The 25,093-nt window shown below is 49.5% G+C and overlaps 1 protein-coding gene across 6 annotated transcripts in view, besides 3 other annotated features; it reads right to left on the reverse strand.

Moving 5' to 3' along the window:
• The window catches only part of DIDO1 (death inducer-obliterator 1), a 60,162-nt gene that overhangs the window by 9,160 nt on the left and 25,909 nt on the right, over nucleotides 1-25,093 (reverse strand). For 2 of the 6 annotated variants that reach the window (NM_033081.3, NM_001193369.2), the window contains exons 3-15: nucleotides 23,872-24,712; nucleotides 22,797-23,118; nucleotides 20,245-20,457; nucleotides 18,985-19,198; nucleotides 9,629-10,094; nucleotides 9,331-9,490; nucleotides 8,147-8,263; nucleotides 7,908-8,012; nucleotides 7,511-7,646; nucleotides 6,764-7,292; nucleotides 5,907-6,060; nucleotides 5,085-5,174; nucleotides 4,058-4,253 (exon numbers count right to left, since the gene is read on the reverse strand). In NM_033081.3, the coding sequence (NP_149072.2) occupies nucleotides 4,058-4,253; nucleotides 5,085-5,174; nucleotides 5,907-6,060; nucleotides 6,764-7,292; nucleotides 7,511-7,646; nucleotides 7,908-8,012; nucleotides 8,147-8,263; nucleotides 9,331-9,490; nucleotides 9,629-10,094; nucleotides 18,985-19,198; nucleotides 20,245-20,457; nucleotides 22,797-23,118; nucleotides 23,872-24,710 (3,541 nt within the window). In that variant the 5' untranslated portion in view covers nucleotides 24,711-24,712. Of the gene's footprint in view, nucleotides 1-311; nucleotides 4,254-5,084; nucleotides 5,175-5,906; nucleotides 6,061-6,763; nucleotides 7,293-7,510; nucleotides 7,647-7,907; nucleotides 8,013-8,146; nucleotides 8,264-9,330; nucleotides 9,491-9,628; nucleotides 10,095-18,103; nucleotides 19,199-20,244; nucleotides 20,458-22,796; nucleotides 23,119-23,871; nucleotides 24,713-25,093 lie in introns of those variants that run through there. The other 4 variants (NM_080797.4, NM_001193370.2, NM_022105.5 and 1 more) reach the window with 2 other exon arrangements.
• Nucleotides 13,035-13,889: an enhancer, noted in NCBI's record as "H3K27ac-H3K4me1 hESC enhancer chr20:61531289-61532143 (GRCh37/hg19 assembly coordinates)". NCBI's record gives its function as "activates a minimal SCP1, AML or CMV promoter by ChIP-STARR-seq in naive H9 embryonic stem cells {active_cell/tissue: H9 hESC(naive)}" and the evidence as "EXISTENCE:reporter gene assay evidence [ECO:0000049][PMID:30033119]".
• Nucleotides 13,219-13,468: an enhancer, noted in NCBI's record as "active region_18217". NCBI's record gives its function as "activates an Ori minimal core promoter by ATAC-STARR-seq in GM12878 lymphoblastoid cells {active_cell/tissue: GM12878}" and the evidence as "EXISTENCE:reporter gene assay evidence [ECO:0000049][PMID:35858748]".
• Nucleotides 20,595-20,644: a silencer, noted in NCBI's record as "silent region_13130". NCBI's record gives its function as "represses an Ori minimal core promoter by ATAC-STARR-seq in GM12878 lymphoblastoid cells {active_cell/tissue: GM12878}" and the evidence as "EXISTENCE:reporter gene assay evidence [ECO:0000049][PMID:35858748]".

Consider the following 25,093-nt stretch of genomic DNA (forward strand, 5'->3'; position numbering starts at 1 on the left):
CACACCCACTCACACACACACAGACCCTCCCTTGTTCCAACTGGGAATCTCTAAGACCTGCACAAAGCCACTGGGTCCAGCACGTCTCAGGTAAGAGGAGAGCGACGTCCATCTTCTTCTGGGTGCCGGGGTGCCGAGAAGGGCCCCAGGGCAGCACCAGCCTGCACTGCGTCCTCTCCAGCAGCTGCTGGGTGGGCTGCAGAGCTGGGCACACTAGGGTGCACTGCGCTGGCTTATGGAAAGCAAACAGGGGCCTAGGATAGGTGACCAGGAGCCACCAAATGGTTCCAATTCAAACAAACAAGGACCAGTTTCCATGAAAGATGTTTATTGATTTAGGAGGAGAAGGCAGTACATTCCATTCAATACTGTATTTGACTCTGATTACAATTTCCATGCAAAGCTACTGTTACATACACACATGAAAACTGAAGAAATGCTTACCTGACAATATTTCAAGTCAGAATTTCTCAGCTAATTTAGAAAGCAATTAAAAGTGAATACAGAAAGACACTATGGATTCAAACATTCTTCCCAGAAGAGCTTTCTAATGTATAAAGACCTCAGAGAAAAGAGCCCTTTCCATTCGAGCAGCTACAGAGGGCGGTGTTTCCTCCTGCCCTGTACTTGGGGAGAACAGACTGTGCACCCATGTTTATGGACCGAGGTTACTCCACAGGCATTTCAGACCAAGGCTCCGAGGCCTGCGGCTTCACGCGGAAATGACGGGGGCTGGGCATGGTTAACAGGCAGGCATCTTGGCTGCGGTCCAGTCCTGTAAGGGCCCTGCACAGAACCCTACACGATGAGCTTTCAACCTGACTCATCTCCCTTCCATGAACAAGGCCCTGAGACAGGCCGGGACTCTGCGACCCCAAGTCCCTGCGGGGGGCCCTGTTGGTAAAGCTGGAACTGAGTGGGGTGAACATCTAGGTGGAGAAGGTCACCTGGAACCAGGCCTCCCAGCTGCCCCCCACCGTGATGCTGAGTTACAGAGAGTGCCCCCACTGCGGGGCAGAGGGGCAGAGGAAGACAACCCGGTGTTTCTGTGGACAAATCATTAAGATATGCAAGGACAAATGTCCTCAGGGAGATCCAGCTACTGCTGTGAACTGCATGGCTCCTGAGGGTGCTGCGGGGGCAGCTCCACTCTCACTGCCCGACAAGGGCCAAGTGCTGACAGGGCGGGTGACTTAAGTTTCCCCTGAGGGCACAGCTGGGCACCTTCAGGCCTTCACTTGCTTAAGTGTGAACAGCAAGCACTGAGGGGGCTAGGACTGGACACCACGCTGTCAAAACCCACTAGGTCCCCATGTGTGGGAGGCATGGACACCTGCAATTGTGTGGTATAAACTGAGGCACATGGACGAGTCAGTCACTCTTTTCTGCGTGAATCTCTACCCCCAACAGGACCTTCTCCTTAACATCCCCAGGGGAAGATGCTCCCACATCAGTGCCCTGATGCAGACGGGCAGCTCAAGGCTGGGGCGCCAGGTCTCCTTCAGGCCTGTGCTGCATGTGCCGCAGAGAACTGAGGCTGTGGAATGGAGCTGGGTCCTGCAGACCCTCACCCAGCACTTCTGGGGGCGTGACTCCAAGCTGCGCAGCACACGCTCACCCCTGACCACAGCTCTGTGGAGTCACCACCATCAGCACCCTCAGGTGTGGCCTGTGCTGTCCAAGGGCTTCTGGGCTATCTCCGTGAGGACAGGGTCCGCTGAGACAGGGGAAACATGCCAGGACCTAGCCTTACACACACACACGCGCGCACATGCACACGCACTACACATTTACACCACAAAGCCAGGACACACATGTACATGTTTATATCTAGAAAACGCCAAGTCAAGTAATCAGTACGTGAAGCGGGCCGAGTACCCGATGGCCTGGCCCGGGGTGAAGGCTGTTTAGTGACCATGGAAGTGTGTGAGATTTCACGCACACGCATTCATGTCAACAAGGACATCAGGAGAAGTTAACATTATACTGAAGTCTTAAGTTAAAACATTTCTGAAGTGTATGGAAAGGTTTCACTAGCTGTTACTTTTCTAAAGTCCCTTGCCCTGTGTTACTTTACCCAGACGCCTCTGCTCTTTATCGTGGATCAAAGTCCCTGGGGCTTTTGTGTGTCCCCGTCAGGCGGCGTCGTGGCCTCAGCAAGTGCCTTGGTGGGCGAGTGTGACGTTCCCCCAGCTGGTCGCGGAGCTGACAGTGTGGGTGGTTGGTGCCATCGCACTCAGCAGACAAGGTGAGTGACCCCAGCCCAGCCCTCCTTGTCCCGGTGCCATCCGGGAGGTGCTGGGAGACCTGTCCTTTCCCTCTGCCCCGGGGCTGCACCTGCACAGCCAGCCCTTGCTGTGGGGAGAATGGAGGCGCCGCTCCTCTGGTGGCCTCCCTGGGCCCCGTCACTGCCCAGTGTGGGGAACCCGGTGCCCGGCATGCGCCGGGGCTCGCTCAACACCCTACAACCGTGCTCACCTGACAGCTCCAAGTTTGGAGATGAGCAGGGAGAGAAGCTCAAGAAAGGATGAAATATCGCCTCAATTGTTTTAAAAAGGGGAGGCTCGCTATCTAAGAATCATGTTTCTGTAAAGAAAAAGTGCTCTTTCCACCCCGGTAGGGAGGTGCTGAGGTGCTGCAGTGTCTGCACTGAGTGCACACACTGTCGCACTTGCAACTGACCAGTGGGTCTTCACAGGTGCGGAGAGGCCAGCTTCTCGGTCTTCACCTCCAGGAGGGCCGGGCTTTTCCTCTCCCTGGTCACGTGGAGCTGGCCAGAGCTCTTCACAAGCAACACCAAGAACCTCTACCAGGGTCCTTTCTGCCACCCATTAGGTGGCATCTCTTTATCCCAAGTAGGATTTGAGGGGACACACTAAAGCACTTTGCTTTTAAAAATTTATCTGGCACTAAAATAATTTAATGCACCACGCCAGCAAATATTTAACCCTGAAATTACTGATACCAACCAATCCCTTTATGGACATATAATTCCACAACACAGGCATAGGCTGAGCCCACTCCAGCTGTGAAGAATGGGCTCCAGTAGGAACGTGGGCTGTGCCTGGGGCGACAGAAGTCCCGCCCAAGATGTGGAGTGGCCCCTACAGGACCCCAGCTAGCTAGGGTGCGGCATGAGGGGTGTGGGTGGGAACACCCTGCACAGCTATGGCAGGAACACCCGCCGAGGCCTGGTGACAGGGACAGAGGGCACTGAGGCACAGGGTCCAGACAGCACCTGCCTTTATGACGAAGCACTTCAGAGGACACTGTGTGATCCACACACCCGCTTTGAGAGAACACCAATCCTCTGGGGACTGCATGGCCACGGAGACACTTCAGTTGGGCATCAGATACTAACCCCTAACTGAAGTCACATCAGCTTCTTCTAAGGGGCTATGAAAGAGCTGGTCACTAACAGAGCACGTGGCCCCTGGAATCACCCTCAACCCTTGACAAAGATGTATTTTAGGCTATTTGTAAATAATCGTTTAAATACAGTACTTTCCAAGGAACGTGCAAACACAAAATAGCTTGCCAAAGATGAATGAACCTATTACAATTTGAGCTGCAGATTTTAAAATAATTATTTCTAGAAATAGTTTTCTATGTCATTATTGTTAAGTCTCCTGGAAATCCATCCCTGTTAGAGAAGTGATCCCTGATGGAGCCACTTCCCGGTGTGTGCTGGCTCCCGAGTCTGTCTAGAGGAAAGAGCAGGGCCGCTGGGAGTGTCACCTCCCTTTCTGGCTGAGCCTTGGGCTTCTGGGCACTGAGTCTTCTCTGACCTGAGGCCAAGATGAGCTGGTTGCAGGCTGTGGGTTTTTCCCTCTCTAAAAAACTCTCCTAAGACAATTTATGCTGTGAATCAGGGGTACTTCTCGTGCCACAGTCCTACGCCCTCAAAGATGAATCCTATTGCTAACCGCTGCGTCTGTGCTCCTAACTCCTGCTCCCAGAGAGCCCTGGGCTGGTCAGGACTCAGCAGGGCATGTCAGTGGGAGGAGGGGTGCAGGTGCAGGTGGGCCTCACCTCCACCCAGAAAGCCGGCGCTTACCTGGTCCCTCAAAGGGCAAGAGTTTGGATGGAACAGGGTCCTGGGCGCTCAGCGGGATCAGGTAGAGGTCCTTGACGTGCCTGTTGTTATTAGCTACAACACCAAAGCGGCCACGGCTGCTGAAATAGGAGTAGAGAGAGATATAGGCGACCTCCTCTTCCTCTGTGGCGGGGTGGAAGCGGATCAGACAGAGCTCCTGCAATGGAAGAGTGGGAAGCACTCATAAAGAAAATGTGGCTCAAGCATCACACGCCCAATTCACATCCTGCTTTCAACAGGAAACCTTGTCAGATCTCTCCGACTCACAGCCACGATCTCACAGAGCTGCTGTCTCAGTGAGGCAATTCACGTGACATGTGAGCCCAGCAGTGTCTGGAGCCGAGCCGGCTCTTCCTACATGCACGACGGCCCCGGTCACGAGGAACCAGCTGCATGATCTGCAATGGCTGTCTGTGCCCCTCCCTAGAGGGGGTTAAACTAGACGACAGGGTCTAGCCCTTTCGTGAACCTGACGAAGACTACAGAGATTCCCCAGAGAAAACCACAGACAGACACGCACAGCTGTAGCTAAATCTCAGGGGGTCCCAGAAAACCAGAACCGTTCAAGAGCCCAGGTTGAGTGCCCTGAGCCTGATCACCCCTGCAAAAGACACCTTCTGCTCCTTCAATCATAAAAAAACAAGAAAATAAAACGTATCTATTTCTTCCTAAAATTTAACCGCACATACATTATAATAAATCAGAAACAAACTTCTACCGCGGCACACTCAGACACCTTCACACAGTCATACAACTATGTAAACTTTTTTTTTTTTTGAGACAGTCTTGCTATGTCTCCCAGGCTGGAGTGCAGTGGTGCGATCTCGGCTCACTGCAAAACTTAATTTTTAACATTCACCTGGAAATATCTAGTAAGCTACAGGCTAACATTTTAAGTGTTAACCCATCCAAACGAGAGGTTAAAAAAAGATGTGTTTAAATCAACACAATTTTCCATGGTTGCAGAATTTATACTATAAGCAGGTACCTTAGACACAGAAGACTTGAGTTTGCCAACATAATCCCAAACTGTCTTCGGTGCGATCCTCCCACCAATGTGAATTGTGTCAGGCAAATCCTAAACAGAAAGTACTTTGCGTAAATCACTTTGAACTGTAGTAGTCACAGAAAGACGAATGCAGCCATGTGAAGGCACACACTACCCAAGATTCAAGAAGACTACAGCTATTCCAAGGAAAAGAGTCACACTTGTATTAAATGCATTAAGTCCAGGATGACAAGTGGCCAAATCCAAAGGGGGAGTGATGCCAACCTTCTGCCAGACAAGATTATGTTTAGAAATGACTGCCCAACACTTCTATGCTGTCTTTACGTACATACACAGAGAGTAACGATTCACTATGAGCCAGGGTGACTCCTTGCATTAAAGTCATAAATGCTAGTGCTGTCTTCTGGTTAATTCTGAAAACTAAAAGGCCTGCCACGGGGTCATATGCGCCACCCCGCAAGTGGCCAGGTGTGTGTAAAGCAGGCTCCGAACACCTGGCTGTGCCGGTGGCTGTGCGCACAGCCATGTGGTCAGTGCCCCAGCGAAACCGATCACTGAGAGGCCAGACTGCAGGCTCACATTTCCGACCCTGTCCAAACTGCTGAACCTGCGGACTCATCACGGCCATCGCCACTTTGCATTTAGAGCCGTTTCTGCATCCAGACAGACGGTTGCAAGAGTGTCAGGCATTTCTGTTTCTCTCCTACCTCATGAATTAAGGGAGAAAGTCATGTGTTTGACTCTAGTTTAGAAACTCCTATGAAAGACACACACACGCACACACATTTTCTTGGTTCTAACCTCACTGAGGTAATCAAAACACCCAGAGACAGGATACGCCTTAGTGACAAATTTTGCCACACTCTGCATGTTAATAAATCCTTTCCAAATGGTGCTGAGTCGAGACAAAAAGAGGGTCGTGTCTCCCTCTGGAGGGGAACGTGATTCTGAAGTGCTGTAAAACAAAACCATAAAAAAAAAGTCAATGTCTCTCTGTGCAATGAGAATTTCAAAAGTAGAAAGCCTTTTTTTTTTTTGAGACAGGATCTCATTCTGTCATGCAGGCTGGAGTGCGGTGGTGCAACACAGCTGGCTGCAGTCTCCGCCTCCCAGGCTCAGGTGATCCTCCCACCTCAGCCTTTCAAGTAGCTGGGACTACACGCGTGCATTACCACACCTAGCTAATTTTTGTCTTTTTTGTAGAGATGGAGTTTTGCCATGTTGCTCAGGCTGGTTTCAAACTCCTGGGCTCAAGCACATGCTGGGATGACAGGTGTGAGCCACTGTGCCCGGCTTCAAGAGTACAAAGACTTTATATGTAAAAGCAAAAGTGAACGCTTGCAAGTTTTACGTTTTTGGTAGCTTACTTTTGCCAATTACTTACTTTAATTAAAATGATACAGACATTTTGGTTAAAGAAAAATAAAGTGAATAGGCAACAAAACTGGATGAGCACAAATTTAAATGTCAATTTCTAAGATCTCTACTTCCAAAAGGACAATAAGGCACCCTACAACTGGGGCTTTTTAAAAGATGAAAGAGTGAAGCTGTATTTCAGGTTACATTTCCAAGTTCAACTATTTAATCACCAGTTATCTTTCCTTTCGTTAATCTAAAAAAAAAGTTTGGCTTGTTCAGACCACACCTGAAGTACGCACCTGATATTTGGTGACGGAGGAACTGACAGGTATCTTGGGTCAGGAGATGAGGATGGCTTAGCTAGTATGGACTTGGGCACCATCACAGAAGTCAAGACAGGCTTCGGCACATCCTGTCTGGCTTCCACCATGTGGGTGCTGTCTGGGCGGGATGCTGCGGAGGCCACGGCTGTGCATGAACTGCTTGGAGCGGTCCTGGGGTCCCGGCCGGACACTGTGACGGTGGTGACCACCCCGCTCCCACAGGAGGCTGGGCAGGGGGACAGGTCTTCCAGCGGGGAGGGCTCGGGATGGCCATCTCCTGGAGGCCCAGGGAAATACGTTCTGTCCACATTTGGATGAGAAGCACTTTCTAGGCCTGGCTCAGAGGCAACTTCAGGCACAGCCTCCGGCATCACCTCATCAGCTGAATCCGGAGCTGGGTCAGGTGCAGAGCTGTCATGCTTTGATTTTAAGTCTTCTTTCTTAACAGAAGCTGACAATTTTTGTTTTTTCGGAGCTGGCTCATCTTCTGCGGAGGGAACCTGGCCTGAAGAAGGCGAGGAAAGGCTCTGTGAGAAACCCAGCCGGCACACTGGTGTTTCTCACACAAAGCCGAAAGCAATACTCTAAAGGCAGGGCAGGAAATCATTCTGGCCCTTCTGCGTGTTTAAGCTTACGTGCGGTTGCTTTTAGGAGGTTCAGTGATTTTTAACAAAATCAAGTTTAGTCTCAGCTCCAAGGCTCCATCCCCTGCACTGTGCTCACCTGTGCAAATTTTACAGTTGAGATCGAAGAGGTGTGCGCGGTGCTGACTGGTGGTGTCTTTCAACATGCTGCTGAAGACGTCGAGAAGCGGCGCTGTGCTCTTCTCAGGGACAGCACGTGCTGACTCTTGCTGTTCCTAAAAAAGAAAAAGAAAAAAAAGTGAGGTCGTTTCTTCTCCAAACTCAGCTCCAAATTAACCACACACAAGAAAAGCAGTCTCATGGGATTGAGACCCACGGGGGAGAAAAAAGGACCATCTAATACAAGGACTGAGGAATGCCACAATGACATACACCTGCTGTAAGCTCAGGTCCTGCCCAATAATTTAAGATAACCTCAAAACATTTGGGATGGATTAGTCTATTCTCGGTGAACACAAAATCTCCCAAATGCTTACCTCTGAATCCGACACTGGCGGAGAGTCCTCCAGATCGGGGATGGCCTCCTGCCTGGGGGCCGTCTTCTTGCTTTCATTGTGCAGTTTAGTTCTGGACTCCATCACCTGAAATGAAAAAGACGAAACAGAGCTTAGGCCTTGTTTTCTAGGAGGAAAGCATCGCTTATGCAGCCGTCTATGAATTTATTTCTATTAAGCTCGAGTCCTGGGTGCCTCCGCAGGTACCCCTCAGCACTCACAGATCTCGCTGGCCTCTCTTTCCACGTGGAAAGCTCTTTAGATACAAGTTCTTCTGGCTTCAGTCTCACAAGTTTCGCCAAAGAGATTTCCTCACGCAGAACACGATGGAAGAGTCCCTATAAACAAGTATTTTTCATTTACTCAAATAATATTCCTATATCTGTCAATACAGAGAGCTTCTGGAAAACACAGCTGCCCAGAAGTTTAGCGGGCACAGGACAAAGGCCCTCAGGGCCCACTTGCGTGTGGCACTGGGCAGAGCCCTCCCTGCAGGGTGTGACCTAACTCCCCAAACGGCCTTATGAGAGTGCGCCCCAGGATATCCCTGCTGTGAGCAAATGGGAGCCCAGAGAGCACAGGTAATAAGGTTCAACAGTGGGTTTCACGGCCTGTGCTGCACTGGCTCTGCTAAAAAAAAAACAACACACAACACCTCAGGAAAAACAATTATGTACACAAGGTGGACACAAGTCAAAAAGGTAGCGTCAGGAACAAAGGAAGGAAGAAATCATTTCTGTTTAGGGCTGTTCAATGGTGAGATGCAAAGTCAGGGTATTTCATTATCCTAAAATTCTAAACAGGGAGGAGCCTGGAGGCCGATGGAGAGAGAACACCACAAGGCTGTCAGCCCGGCGGCCTATCCCTCCCAGCTGGAGTTTCTGTCCTCGTCGCATGGCCCATGCTGCAGTGAGGAAGGACTGATCCCACTACCTGGGCGTGAGCAGCCCCTGCTCCAAGTGGTGAGAACTCAAGCAGCCCAAACCATCAGGCTCACTCGGCTGATGAGGAATATGAGAAAATAAGGTGGAAAAGGCTGTCTGAGGCCGGAATACGGACACCCTCATACACTGGGATGAAGAACTGGACTTTATTTTGGAGCCCAGTGAAGCGACTGGCTTGTACCTTTACAGCAATGTTTACAGGAGACTAATGTGGTGATAAAAGGTGGACTTCAGGGAAGCCAGGAAGCGGACGCGACCCTAGTTAAGGCAGGGAAGGGAAGGGGTTTCCAGGACGCTCAACGCCAGTGCAACAATACGTGGGCGGCAGAAGGATCACAGAGGAGAAAGAAACGTCTTAGCTTTCCTGGAAAGGACACGAACATCTCAAAATATTGGTTGATCCCTTTAGCACCCAGCGAACAGAACAGGAATACTCCAATGCACCGACACCAGGCACACACCTGATTTTTAGGGTCCTTCAGGTTGAACATGATGCTGCGATATTTACTCTTGTAGCGATTATCTGTAACTTGAAACAAGTTAAACATCTCCTTCTCAATATGGAGGGCAATTTTTCCTACTTCGTTTTCTGTCATGATTAAGTCATCGCTGTCATTGACTCTGAACAGAATAAAAAAAAGGAACTACATAAGACACTTGTGTATATTAAACTTTTTGAACAGTGAGGCAATCCTGCAGCCACACTCTAATGAAAGCCCTTCCATTTTAATGGGTAAGAAATCAAGCAGAACAGCCCACCTTTTCCACAAAATCTCTTTTAAGGAGCGTCTGATATTTTGCCGAATTTGTGAATTTGGCTGCGATGGTGCAGCACTCATAGCCCCAAGGCGTCCTGGGGCTGGCGAGGCCATTGGAACAGAAGGTACCACTGGCTTCCTTACGGCTCCCACCAAAGCAGCGGAGCCAGGGAACTTCTTGGAGGCAGCCGTTGCCGCTGCAGGTGCCGGTCCGGCCTGCCTGGCAGCTGAAGCACCACTCGATGGGGTAGCGGAGAGCCATGGCCTCTTGGGGATGGTGCCCTTGAAACCTGAGGGTGGCTTTTTAATGGCTGGTGTGGCTGCTGCCACATTAGCAAAAGAAGACTTCTTTGGCACGAGGTTTCTAGGTGCAGGCTGCTTGCCCACCGCGGAGCCTGGAGGGGCTGTTTTCTTTGAGGCTGCCATGGCTGCCGCTTTCTCCTCGGACCTCCTGTCTTCCTTCGTGGCTACAAAGAAGAACACAGGCGCTGAGTAAGGGAGGACACCACAGGGTGCTGTCACCTGACTCTAAAAAGCAGACTTACCCTTAAACCTGTAAGTGCCCACCTGGCATTACTGAATAGGATACACATAGAGAAAAGGATTTGTAAAATGTTAGTGTTCAGAGGAGTGTAAGGGAGGACCGCCAGCAGCATTTATGACGGTGACTACATTTTATTTCAGAAAGAAGAATGCTTTATTATTCTATCTTTTACCTTCAACCAGCAAACTCTAGTTATTAAAGGCTTGACTTGCGCACTAGCTAAGCTTCAAAGCTGAAGGACAATTTCCTATCATCACTTTTTAAAAGGCAGATTTACAGCAGCACTATCATTATGAATTCAAGTGCAAACTGTTTGTAAACTTCAGTGAAAAAGACCGTTTAGAAGCGTAAAACAGGCTCTCTTAGCCCGGTGGGTGGGGTTTACACATCTCACTTCGTTGTCCTTCCAGACTGGAGTCCATTGGAGGCGATGCCATTAATAAAAATATGGAAAGCTGGCATACACCTGAACCACAGGAAGAGCAGCCACACCTTTACGTGAAGAGTGAGAAGCTGAGAACGCAGCAATGCTGTTACAGGAATGCGTCCATTCACAGCCCTCAGGCTGTAATTCCATTAAGTGAAGTATGAATCCAAACAAGGATTATAATTAAAAGCTCAAAGACATCAAACCCCCTCAACTTGCACAAAAAGCTTTCTATGTCAGTAGAGAATCAATCACCTTATAACCCCATGTGAGATCGTCAGAGCCCAAAGGCCCTCGAGCAGGGGACAGACGGCGTGCCAGGGGACAGATGGCCAGGGGACAGGGCTCGTTGAGGTGCACCGCATGCCGGGGCAGGGATCCAGCTAGTGGAGCAGAGTGAAACGCCTGGGGAATAGGGGGCCCCCATGAGGGCCCCAGGATGGCAGAGGCCATCTCAGCTCTACAGGCAAGTGCCTGGGAGCTACCTCGGGTGATCAAGTCAACAAGGCACCTCCTGAGGAAAGGCTTTTCCAACGATCGGTACAGCAGCAAGCCTCCAAAACTCCCAAAGGCCTAAATGGGAGAATGTGACAGATGCTCCCAAGAGCGCTTCAGTTCTACCCAGGGACTGAAAATCAAACCGCACTCCTCCCCCGTCGTCTTACTGACCGCTTTCAATAAATGAGGTAAGTCTGAAAGCTCAGGAAAGAGCCAAGACTCTACAAATAAGGCCTGATTCAACAGCCTGCCCCAGCTTGGTCCTGCAGGATATCCCGCATGTGCTGCCAGGCTTGGCCACGTTGGCAGCGGGTGCCAGCCCTCCCCAGCAGCCAGTCCATCAAGCAGCAGCCTCAGGGCTGCAAGTCTTCCCAACTTCCCAGATAAGTACAACTCCTTCCATTTTTACAAAACTTGCAACAGTACTACATGGATCCAAAAAGCGGTGTCACTGTTAACAGATACCCCAACTTTCAAACAATGGTGTCACTGTTAACAGATATTCGCCCCGACTTTCAAGATTTCCATGTGTTCTTTCCTAACCATCATTTTAATGGTAACTAAGTAAAGGCAAATCCTGTATTTTCATCTTAGGACCCTTCTAACCTCATGGCCGGCCCCTGCCTACCCCTTGCTAGATGTGGTCCAGCCACAGGACCCCCTCCTTGGCAACACTGCCAAGCCCTGTCTCCTCACCCACAACCGCACCCCAAAACACTCATTCCTGTTGGAGCTGGATCTTAAAAGCGCACTATAAAAAATGGCAACGTCTAACACGACAGGAACAAAGGTGACAGCTAGTTTTTATCTGTCCAGGAAACTTTGCTTTTAATTCCACATGTACTATGTCATCAGATCAGGTCTATACACCCCAGGAGTCACTACCTTAGTGTTTGAAAATCTGTTTTTAACAACTCAGTTTAACTCATTAGACTTAGCTCACAGGTCTGCAGCATCTTGCCTGCAGGGTTGCAATAGGTCAGTCAGGTTAAATAAAAATCAGTGGAGGCCCTTTTTCTTGGGGGAAGCAGCGAGGGGGTGGGGTGAGGATGGAATGAAAAGGCCCAGCAGGCCTAGGGCGCTGGAGGCACACCGGCAGGAGGCTGACACCAGGCAGGCACCAGGAACCAAGCCCCGGTCTCCAGAGGCGGCAGACAGACACCTGCCGGGAAGCCAACCGTGATTCAAACTGAAACCTCAAACCAATTCAGTGACTGCACTAGAAACCTTGGAGTGTTTTAATATCACGTTTAAAGAACTCTAAAAAAGCTGGCTGAAAGCATTTCCAGAAACCTCGGCAAAATGCCTTGGCTGTGACACACAGAACACCTGTGTGCTGTGACCTGAACGGTATCTTTAATGATGTTTAACGCTCACCTTGTTGCAAGTTAGGGTTACATGCTACCTTCAAAACCATCAACTCCATTTCTCCAGATCGTAAGTGTTGGAATGAGGCGTCCATGGCCACACTCAGATTTCTGCTCGTGTAACTACACTATTGTCTCCCTCACTTAGGGAAAACCCGAGTTGAGAGATGAGTTTTAGGGCACTCCCAGTACATGGGTTTAAAACCACCCATTACCCAAGAGTGGGGGCAGCAGATTAACGTAATTTATTTTAAAAGCAGGAAATAGCTTTCCTTAACCATTGCTATTTTAGAAAATTAACTGCTCCCTTTCTAAAGGCAACCTTTGTCATCCCTCATCTGTGCTTTAAAGAGCATGGAAATGGGCAGTCAGGTGAGTGAACGGCAGAATGTTCCAAGCCGGGCCTCTGGGAGCAGTGTCCTACAACACGCAGAAAGCCCCATTCCTGCTCTGAACGGACATGTTCTATCCAGCAACTGTTCCAGGGACCCGAGCACACACCCATTCCACTCCAGGTGGGACAGCATGGCTGGTGCTCAACTTGGGTCAGCTGCTGCTGAAATGGGGACAGAAACTTTTTAGTGGAGCTAAAATTCAATTTGCAAGTTCATCCAAATTTGCTTTGAACTATTACGTTGTGTATAACTTCAGAGAAGGGCAAGCAGCAACTCCAGGCAACCCAGGAAAAAACCCCACTGCAGAAACACAGGGCTCTGTCAGGGTACGAGCCTCCCCTACACGCTGCTGGGCCCCCTGGGGGCAGCAGTGGTGGTGACCTGGTCACACCGCACAGCACTGATGCCTGAGAGCCAGGGGTCCCCTGCCCCTCCCCACACCTCTCTGCCCCTTGGTCGCAGTGCTGTCTCCTTTAGCTCCCACATTCTGGGGGCCTGCCCAGGCCACTGGCCCAGATGAAACTGTTGCTGCCGGGTCTGGGTTTCAGCCAACTGCAGAATGAAGCAGGTCGTCGTCGTGCACAGGGATCAGCAGCACACTCTAATTGGCCAATTTCCCCCAAAGCAGAAGGCTGGCTGGCTTGGGTGCTACAGCGCCTCTGGCCACTGGGTGGCACCAGGGCCTGAGCAGAGACGGGGAGGAGAAAATCAGGCCCCCACTGGAGGATGGTGCTACTCCGCTCCTCTCTGCAGAACCCATCCAATTGCCCCAGTGGAAGTTTTAGCAGGACAGGGATTAAAATATGGGGCAAGAGACCAAGTCTGCTCAGTTCTGGACTGTCCAGAGGCCCCCATGTAGCAACCTTATGTGCTGGATGGCTCCCCACAGGGAAAGGAACTGGTTATAAAAATCACTAAAATAAACACCACACGCCCTCACGTAGGTGTTGACAATGAAGTGGCCTGCCCTGTCGCGGTACTGCTGGCTGGTTTAGGGAAGCTGGGGCACTCAGACCTCCACTGGTCTCCCACGGTGTCCTGAATCCTGCCTATCACCATCCGCTACAGCTCTAAGGGCTGTTTCTATGCTATGCACCTGAAAACAGACTCAACAGTCAGTGAAGGAACTGTGGAAGTAAATTCTGTTCACTGTGACGTCAGGCCTATTTGCAGCCCTCAGTGAGGCGTGTGTACAACAATGCAGTTTCCTGCTTTACCTGTTTCTTCACTCCAAGATTGCCCCTAGTGGGAACAATCAAGGTGGCAGCGGCAAGAGAAAATGTTCTGCTTTTGCTCCTCTCAACATGCTAGAATGTGTTCACATGAATTCGCCTTTTATAAGTAGTTACTAGTTTGCTTTCATGTTGCGGGGAAACAGTTACTTCCCAAATACAGCAGGCAGACTACATCGCAGACGCTCCTCAGAGGAGACCATCACTACAGCCAGGACGCCCTTGCAGGGTCCACAGCTAGACTGCCGTGTTTTGGAATACTCAAAGCTTTCCTTGGTCAGTTTTCTTACTAATACCCGCTACTTGAGTGCCTTCCAACTTAATGGAGAGGTGTGTAATTCTCCCTAAGAAACTCGTGTGATGAGGGCCACGTGGACAGATGGACGTTCCACTCAACTGCAATTTCAGTTGTGCCCAGCTGCACATGGTGTGTGCCTGGCTGCCAAGCCCATTTGGGAGCAGAGCTGCTGCTCTTCCCAAGATCTCCCACACGAGTAATTTAACCTTTATCTAAGTTGTTTACTACTTAAACCAACATGTTAGGGGCATGTTAAAATTAGTCCACAACCCTCCCCTGTAATCCCTCCAGTCCTAAAGGGCCATACTCAGTATAAAGCCCCTAGCTGACAGCACCAAGCAGGTCAGTTGAGGATAAAGCCAGTTACCTTAAGCTCTTCTTGCCGAACTCTTCCAGGTTTGCGGCAAATGAAAGTTGCCGCAACCTTCATTTAAATAAGTAGCAAAAATTCTTGTCAATATTCTAAGTTACTTCTCTAACTTTTAGAAGCTAAGAATATAACTATGTGTATGTTGATGTGTTAACAGAAAAAAAAAAAAAAAAACCTAGTATTATTTTACAACTTTATACAAATCTACCTGAAACTTGTGTACCACATTGGAGGAATTGTAGCAGGCGTCTTCAGAGCTGACCTCTGCACTCTGTGACACCGAGAATGCCGAGGAGGCTTTCCCGAGTATTCATCTTTAGACTATGAGTAGATCCACAGCTCCGAAAGGTCCTATGAAGGTCACTGAAGAGGTGGTGAATTCAGGGGGACCGATCCTGCTGGAAACTTCCATCCCTGCACCCCACCTGCCCAAGGTGGCTGAAGCATAAGCACAAAGGGGCACCTGAGGGATGGACAGGGGCACCACGGGACGGTGCTGATGTGGGACTTCACCGTGCAGGGTCACGGTTACGGAGGTGTGAAACCTTTCCCTGATGTAATTTTCTCAATGGCAGGCTGCTTTTTAAGTTTATAAAAAGTAAAACACTTAAAAATAACAAAAGAATGTCATTACTGACAGCCAAGAAACTTCCAGTTATATGGATAACGTAAAAAAACAACTATCAAGCTATATTCTTTCTCAGAACAAATTCTGATTTTTCTAATTGGGAGGAAGAGATTGGTGGACACGTAGAGTCTGATGACTCCCAGTCTCGTTTTATTGCCGCTGACAACTCTGGAGGAGACAGATAAAAAAAGAGCTCACGCGACCAGTGAAACAAGCCACCCTCCTCTCCCGGCTTTAAATTCCTGCAAAACACTCTTAGGTTCTAGAATCCCCCCATGTATTTTTTATTAATGAAAACTGAGACTGGGTCCTCTTAGGATTTCAGTGAAATGTGCTTCTGGAGCCCACACCATGAGTTATCCTTGTGAACGGTGTTCTCCGTCCATTTCACCCCACCAGGGCCATCTCTGTGGCAGCACGTGGGAACAAGAGGCAGTGCTTCCACCTGGGCACCATGCTTAACACAGCATCTGGATTTGGGTTTACAAACTGGCAACGTTTTCCATTTTAATTCCAACGGTTAGATGAAACGAACTGTAGAATCTGCTTTGCAGTCAAAATCTGTTCAGATCCTCAGTGTTTAAGTCACTTAATGAGCCATTTAGGGAGACAAAATACTAGAAATTGCACCTATCAAATACCATCTCAAAATTTTGAGAATTCCATCTCAAAATTCTAGTCAGTCAGGTACATCTCAGAAAAACATTTCCAACTGACTTCATGCCTCGACAATAATGGGAGGTGAACAGTGGAAATAAAGAGAAAAAAATGGAATAAGAATTTATAAAACCACAAAAGAAACATCATGATCTTTGAGAGAAGTTATGTGCACCAAATGTTTACGTAAGCTAAATAAACTGTATATATAAGAAACAATTTTTAAAAACAAATGGGAGGAACAAGGTGAGGCTGTGAAGGACCTACTGATATCTTAGCAGGGGGCACAGCCTCCTTCTAGCAATGGCAGAGTGTCTGTGCACACCAGGCCTCACCTGTTGGACAGGAACCCCCAGGTCAACCGAGTGCCATGGGAAGGACAGGAGGGTGCCTAGGTGCACTGTGGGGAGCAGCAGCGGTAGCTCCACCACGTGGGTCTTCTGATGGTATGTGTGGTGAGGCAAGTGTGAGTCAGCTCATGGGACAGACCCACACCAGCCTCTCACTTCCAAACTCACCCCCTACCAGGGAGGGCGAGCTCCGTGGCCAGCCAGGGAGGCAGGGCAGGGGCCTCAAAGGCATACAGTGGTGGCAGGCTCCCCAGTACTTGTTGAGCCTACAAAAGTGCAGAGGTGTTTAGGGGAGAGGCAGAGACATGGTAGCTGCTGTCACCAATGTCTCTAACTCTGCTCCAATCAATCACCTTTTGGGAAGACAACATTTACGGGATAACAAAACGAGCAGAAGCTACTAGCTCAAAAGTGTGTCGTCCCCATTCCCATCCTATACAAATTCTGGAAATCCACCAATTTTAACTTGAGGTGATGTGTTGGGAAGGTTAACAGGCAATTTCCCCCACCTCCTGTCCCTGGAGCAAATCAGCTTCCCAGAGGAGCTGATGTGTGGCAAAGAAGGGAAGAGGGAGAAGAGGTCAGAGTACCCCGCTATGGGCAGAAGAGCAGCCTCCTGGTCGACCTCTCCCCGCTCACAGTGCAGGAGGCAGGCAGGAAGCAATAACCCAGGGCTGAGAGCCCCTCATTTCCCCATCTTCCCACCAATGCTCCCTCCCCACAATGTACACGGACTCTTCCAACTCCACATGTGGAGTCTCTGGCAGCTTTTCAATTTTGGTTGACACAGATGGAAATTAACCAAACTGAAATTATCACCCACTTATCTGAACTGAGGCTATAACCGCAGTTTTTCTTTTCTTCACTGTTATGTGTCTAAAACCAATGTACAGCTAAATTTTAGTACAGCATTAAAAATCCCTCTCTGCATTCACAGGTGGGTGACACTTTAAGCCCATTAGCTCTGTAGAACTGCTCTATCGTAGAGGTGCTAGAATCTGATGAACATTTGAGACATTTGCTAGCATAAAATTCTCAGCTCAAACAATGTAAGGTATCGAGATTCATTATAATGCAGCAATTGCATGATTCATTTTATGTGCGGCTCAATTTCTTAGGTCTAGGCTGTTTACATGATCAAAACGAGGGACATATTTTTCTTCTTTTATGAAGCTACTCATACTCAATAACTGCATATTTTTAGCCAAGCGCTGTGGCTCACATCTGCAATTCCAGCACTCTGGGAAGGCCGAGTTGGGCAGATCACATGAGGCCAGGAGTTCAAGACCAGCCTGACCAACATGGTGAAACCCCGTCTCTACTAAAAATACAAAAATTAGCCAGGCATGGTGGCACGGGCCTGTAATCCCAGCTACTTGGGAGGCTGAGGTAGGAGAATCATTTGAACCCGGAGGTGGAGCTTGCAGTGAGCCGAGATCATGCCACTGCACTCCAGCCTGGGTGACAGAGCAAGACTCTTGTCTCAAAAAAAAAAAAAAAAAAAAAAAAAAAGTGTCTTTTTTGTAAGGCACACCAGACCTAGCATAGGTCTGCTTGCCTGCATGAGTGCCTTCCCTTAGGGAATCTGCTCAAAGTCTGACGACGGGAAAGTGGGGCACTCTGTGATCATCTTTGAATTGAGACTATTTAACCTTTCGGTGCTTTTTAAAAAAAGCACAAAATGCACTATAGACAGAAGGCATTAAAGACTGAATTGAAAATAGTTTTATAGCAGAAAACTGAGAAACAAGAAAACATTAAAATTGCACCACAGAATCTGAGGTTTCAAAGATCTGTTTGAAATATCTTCATTTCATTAATTTGAAATTTGGGGCAGGATATGATCTTAAGAGTCTAAACATTCAAGAGACGAGGGCAAGAAAGCCAGTCACATGTAGAATACCAAGTCCAAGGCACGCGTCCTGCGGTCAGGACAGTGTTCTAGGTGTGAACTCACTTACCGTGGGGCCTATGAAGCAGGAGTGTGTGGCCTTCGAAGTTCGAATGTGTTCATGTGGGTGTGTAGCGTGTGAATCGGACATGGAAAAAAAAAAATCCCCTATCTGCCCAGTCAAAAATAAATGTACACCTGAAAATCAGATGCAACACTAACTTGCAAAGATTCCCACAACATAAAAAAGAAGTGATGCTTTCATGTGCTGGCCGTGGACAATGTGGAAAAACTGAAGCGTATACAGCGCTGTTGTCAGAACAACTCATGTGCAGACAGGGGTGGATGTGGCGTGCCGGGCAGTGTGGCTATGCAATCAGACTGGGATGAAGAGAATACGAATACTTACCAGAGCCTGAGAGTGAAAACAGAGATTAAAGAATCAATCATTAAGGTGAACGTTCACCAGTGAGGTTTACAGCTTTGGAAAACAGTGACAGGAAGTCCTGACAGACTAGGGATGGACACAGGGCAGCAGGAGGCATCCTGGACATGGGCTCTGCTTCCCGCTGATGGTGCAGCCGGTGTCTGTGATCAGCTTAACACAAAGCTGCAACTCCCAGTCCTGGACAGGCCCAGGGGATGGCTATCCAGAAAGAACGGGAGGGGTCCAGGAGGCCAACCCCTAGGTGATACATACATTTATACAACAGTGACGGCGAGGGAGCAGCAGTCTTTTCTGGCTTTACTGCATTGTAATTGTGATCGCTCGCCCACGACGGCGTGCTGCTCTCACAAGCTGCTTCCTTCCCGAGTGCTTCACTCCGCGCAGGGACCACCACTGCCTTCTTCACTGTGGTCTCTTTTTTTTCTGGAGCTGGTCTCTTGTGCACAGAAGAGATTTTAATACCTGCCTGGATAATCAGTAAAACCCCAAATCATTAAAAAGGTAAGAAATCATACCTTCACTTCATTTCACTGAGAGATGAAGGCGGGGACCCAATGTCTTCCTGAGGCCATCTGAAGACCCTGCACCCATCCTGCGCCTGCTTGGCAGCAGTTCAACACACTTGCGTATTCGGTGGGCCCGCGGTGGGCCCGCAGTTTCCCCGTGCAAAACTGAGAACTTCAACCACTTGTGCTCCGTGAAGGGCGGCTGGCACAGAGTCACCTGCAACCCTGATGAGGTGCCAAGTTGCCAAGATGACAGGAGCAGCAGCCACTGGACAGGCTGCCAAGATGACAGGAGGAGTGCGGCAATGAACCAAATGAGCCAAATGAGAGGAAAGGCCTGCGCGCGAGGCTGTGCCCAACGCCGAGGGTTCAAAAGGACCAGCCTTAAAAATTAAGTCATTCAAAGGCTAAATAATCATTTGAAAATAATCAAGAAAACTCCCTGAACAGTGCTAGTTGCGCTTTGCTGGTCACAAACATAACCGGGGCAGTGACACAGCCACCGCCGCCTGAGCCTCACAAGGGCCTTCAAGTCTAAGACAAGAGTTTGCGATCTCTAAACATTCCAAATAACACGGAGTTCTTTCCAAATAACACGGAGTACAAACATGAGACAACTCTGAGAGCCGGGTCTTAAATGAAGACCACAGCCTTGCCCCGAACCCGCCTCCCACTCCTACCTGCCTGCAAGTCTACGCTCTACAAACTCCACCGGGTGGTTACCAACTCTTCTCACAAGACAGCAGGGTGTGTCCTGAAGTCTTATGCCCCCCGTACACTGCCATTGTCAGCATTTGCTTTACTGCACTTGTGTTAATTAACCCCTCAGCTAACGGGCAGAGAAGGGAAAACTGGTGGGAAGGTGGAAGACAAAGGTCAAGGCGACACCACGTGTGCGCCCCCCTACACCTGCCACCCCCACACGGTCTACAAACCAACAGTTCTGCGACAAACGCTCTCACGCCTGTGCGTCCACTGCCTGGGCGGCTGGTCCTGGTCCACTCACCTGAGCACCGCATTTCGGAAGACTGGGCTTCTCTGGCTTCATCTTCATCTTTTCTTTAGGCTTTGGCTTCTGTTCTTTACCTGAGCTTAGAAACTTCATTGTCGCTGCGGCGTGTTTGAGGATACAGTCATTACTGCAGTACACCGAGTCGGGCTGCGCCACGTGACAGCACCCGGGGCCAATACATTTTGAGGCACCAGGCGCCTCTATCACCTGCAGAACAAAACAGATGACTTCAAACAATGTACTTGCCAATTTTAAGCAGTTAAGTGTGTGTTTTGTAAAATCACCATTTATAGTACCAAGGCCACAGTTTCAAAATGAGATACTAACAGTACTTTTAATATGAATAAACATTTTGTTGATTCAAGCTATGAAAAAGCCAGGTAAGGCATTCACACTGTCACTGCCCGTCATGCCCTGCAGGGGGCAGGAGTGTGAGGAGACCCCTGGACTGCCGCCCTCTGCTCTGTGCACCCCTCTCGAGGGTGGGCGGGGCCCACGGGACCTCACATCCACGATGAGGCTCCGCTAGAGGACCCACATGCAGGGCTTCTTCAGATGTAATTAAGGATCTAACTGGGATGACTGCAAGTCAAATGGGTCCGGCTAAATCAGGTAAAAACCCTTAAAAAAGGAACTGGGTCTTTCATGAAGAGAGAAGACTTCATAGCTGGTTTTGAAGTAAGCTTCCCTGCTTTGAGAGGATTAGCTGTGGCTAGGATCTGAGGGCAAGGCTGCCAAGTAAAATACAGTATGCCAATGAAATCGGAATGTCAGATAAACAATGAGTAATTTTTCAGTGTAAGTATGCCCCCCAAATTGCATGAAACATACTTTTTTTTTTGTTTGAGACAGGGTCTCGCTCTGTTGCCCAGGCCGGAGAGCAGTGGCACAATCATAGCTCACTGCAGCCTTGATGTCCTGGGCTCAAGTGATCCTCCCACCCCAGCCTCCCCAGTAGCTGGGACTACAGGCACATACCACCACGCCCAGCTCATTATTTATTTTTTTGTAGAGATGGGGGTCTCACTACGTTGCCCAGGCTGGTCTCGAACTCTTGGCCTCAAGTGATCCTCCCATCTTGACTTCTCAAAGTGCTGGGATGACAGGTGTGAGCCACAGCACCCGGCCAGACACACTTATACAGTAAAAAACAGCGTGAGGGCTTCTGGAAGGGAATCCCCTGCCAAGCCTCTGGAGACCACAGCCCCCGCTGCACCGTGACTGCAGTCCTGTGAGACCTGAGCAGCAGGTCCAGGCTTCCCATGGAAATGGAGGCATAAATGTGAGCTCCTTCAAGCCAGGACTGCAGTAACTCATCGTGCAGCAGGAGGAAACTCACGCACCACAAACAGCTTGACCACTGCTGTTTACAAAGTCTGTCTCGATGATCAGGCCTCAACACACACGAACATGTCCCTCACACATACTTAAGCGAAACCTTATTTCTCAAATTAAATATTTAACATAATCAGTTTTCCTCCACAGAATCTAAGTTTTATTGAGAATACAATTTAGGTTTGTGCAGGGTATTGTCAAGCACAATGACAATTAAAAAAAGATGTTGGGCGTGGTGGTGTGTGCTTGTAGTCCCAGCTACTTGGGAGGCTAAGGTGGGAGGATCACTCAAGCCCAGGAGATCGAGGCTGCAGTGAGCTGGGACTGTGCCACCGAACTCCAGCCTGGGCAACAGAGCGAAGCCTCAACTGCACAAAAAACAGAATCAATATATTTAAAAAATAAAGACATAAAGCCAATGACTTTTCTCATGAATTCCCATCTCCATTCATCTCTGAATGCCCAGATGTGGCCTCTGATAGCAGCGCAGCATGAGCCTTCAGCCCCTCCTGCCTCCAAGGGCACGCTCCCAGGTGCACGGCCCAGCCTTCGGACATCCTCACCTTGCAGCTAATGCAGTGCAAGAGTGTGAAGGCAGAGATGCTTCTAGACACAGCAATTTCCAATACCTGCCAGAGGACAGGCAGCTGGGTGGGGACAGGCCCGGGACCCTGGAGGGACCAGAGTGAAAACACGCCAAGTCACACCTGCCCTGTGGGGACTGGAATGGAGACTGCAAACACAAGACAGCAGCAGAAGCTGACAGCATGTGGGAAATGTCATAAACATCAGGGGGAGAGAATTAAGTGTCAACACAGCTGCAAGACAGAGAAACCACTCTCAACACAAGCACCCCGAGGAGCCAGCACCAGAACCACGAGGCAGCTGGAGACAGCAGGTGACACAGGAGCACCGCCACTCCCATCGTTCAGAAACAATTCCTTTCTGCTAATGCATACAAAGCATGTAAGCAACACCCAAATCCTCAAAGATGGGCTGATTTCAACAATTAAGTCATTAATAGTAGAGGAGGTAGACAGGGTAAGAATAAAAATAGAAAGGCCTCACCCAGGTGGAGTGAGGCAGGAACCCGGGAGAGGCACCGCCCCACATGGGTGCAGCACCCGTCCTGGGAGGAATTTCTATCTAGAGCGAGACTGAAACCAGTGAGGCCGACTGCTGAATGCTCGTCTCAGCGGACAAACACTTACAGGCTGGAAGATCTTGAGTTTCTTCTTGCCACTTGGATTTGCAGCTTTCTCAATTCTACCCTTTATCCCTTGGTCTTCGCTAGACTTCTGCTCTATTGTTCCTATACTTGTACAATCGGTGCCATCAGCATCTCCAGGTCTCCATTTAGCTTCCTGCTGATCTGCCGTTTCTGAATGAGTCTCATCCTGCACTTGCAGAATGGTGCAGTTTGGGCAGATATAGTCTTCCCCATTCCTTTCCAAAAGCCTCCCTCGAGCCTCAGAAATGCCCACACAATCGCCATGAAACCATTCTTCACAGCGGTCACAGCAAATCATAAACCTGAAATTATAAAATAACGGTATTAGCAATGGGACGTGAGTGACAAGCACTTTTCAACACATTAATAAGACAATTGGTTTTAACTTCATGAAAAAATGCAAATATACAGAAAAGTAGAGATTAAGAACGTCCTCATGCCTTTCCTTTGATTTTAACATTCAACCAAATTTACTTCACCGTTTTTTAAGAGTAGCGCATTTTAGGAGCAAACTCTAAGGCATTCCACCACAGATACCTCAGCAAGTCTCCCCCCAAAACTGCGACAATGCCTTTATCCCAGCGCCAAGCCAACAGGCTGCCTATCACCGTCTGACACCCAGTCCTAGCAGAGATCTTTTGAGCTGCCCCAATGTTTGCACTAGGACACTTGCGGTCTGCACATGCCCCTCTGCTATGTCTCCCAAGGGGCAGTCTAGAGGAGCAGTCTCAGACAGACCCCGGAGTGACGGACACATTCTCCTCCATGCCGTCTACACAGAGCCACTGGCTGCACGTGGCTCACGTGACTGGGGTGGGGCGCTATTCACCTCCTCACTTGACTGGAAACAGCCATGTGTGGCCAGTGGCTACCAGAGTGGAGAGGTGGCTCTAGGAAGTCCTTAGCCACTCTTATGTGTTTCTTTTTTGACAACTTGTTCATCTTTTCCAACAAATCGCTCATCCAGCCCAGCTTTGTAACCCTTTAAAATGAAAACAAATGGAAAATTCTGTTTGCAACCCTGGGATTTCTGTGGGTGCCCACACATGACCCACCTGTTGTTGTGAGGCTGGCGGCAAATGCAATACAGGGCGTTGGGGTCGTAACCCTCACATTCAGGCTTCGGTCGGCCCAAGTCTCCAGGCTCCTCATCTTTGATGTCCTGAGCCGCCTTTCCCTCCAACTTACTCTCTCTGTCATCTTTCCCAGCCTGGGACACAACCCCCTGATCGTTCTCGGGCTCCTGCTTACTGGGCAGGACGCCCTCCACAGTGTCACTGGCCTCGGAGCCCACAGTCTCGGCGGGACCCTCCTCCCGGCGCTTCTTCCGCAGGCGACTCTGGATCCCTTTCAGGGGCCTCTCAGTGGGCTCCTGTTCCCGCTTCCTGCGAAGGCGATTCTGAAGCTCTTTCAAGGTCAGGCCATCGCTGTCACTATCGGAGGTGTCATCGTGGTCATCCCCTCCTTTCACCTTTTCAGAAGAGGCTGGTCGTTCCTTCACAGCTGTGGAAGCAGACTGGGGGCCGCTTCTGGTCTCAGAAGCGCTTTCCACGCTGCCCTCGGAGGCTGTCTCGGCGTCTGTGGCGGGGCAGGACGTGGGCTCACCAGAATCCTCCAGGGAGACAGGCATGCTCCTCCTGCCGCGGCGCCGCGCAATGGTCAGGAACTGCTCCACGCGCTCAGTGCGCTTGGGCTGCCTCCCACTGCGCCGCAGGGACAGGCCCAGCTGCTGCTGTGGGGGTGGCGGCTCCAGTGGGTCAGCCTCCGCGTCCCCTGCGCCCTCTCGCTTGGCGATAGTGGTCCTTCGAAAACCCCATGTTTTCCTGAACTCTTTGCTGGTGGGTTTGATGGCCTTAGGTGCCTCCTCATTGCTCGGGTCGCCTTTGTCGTCCATACCTAGCGGTAAAGTGTAAGCACATAGTGACCAACTGACCACAGAACAAAAGGTGACATTGCCGCCAAACACGCGCAGCAGGGGCCACCTCCCTACAAACAGTGGAGCTCTACATAAAGCAAGTCCTTCTGACCAGTGTTTCCTAATGTGTGCTATGTGAGATGATTCAAGATGATTTGTAAAGATAATTTTAATATAGTTAAACAACTAACGTTTAGACAAAAATACAGCTAACAAATCAAATGTACAATTTCATCATTTAACTGCTCAGGACAAGGCTTCACAAGCCAGACAGTAGGGACAAATAGGAAATATTGGACAGTATAGCAGGGTAAGGATGTGAGTAAGGACGTGAGCAAGGACGCGAGCAGCTCGGAGGTGGC

Source organism: Homo sapiens, chromosome 20, assembly GCF_000001405.40.
Source record: "Homo sapiens chromosome 20, GRCh38.p14 Primary Assembly".
NCBI lineage: Eukaryota > Metazoa > Chordata > Mammalia > Primates > Hominidae > Homo > Homo sapiens.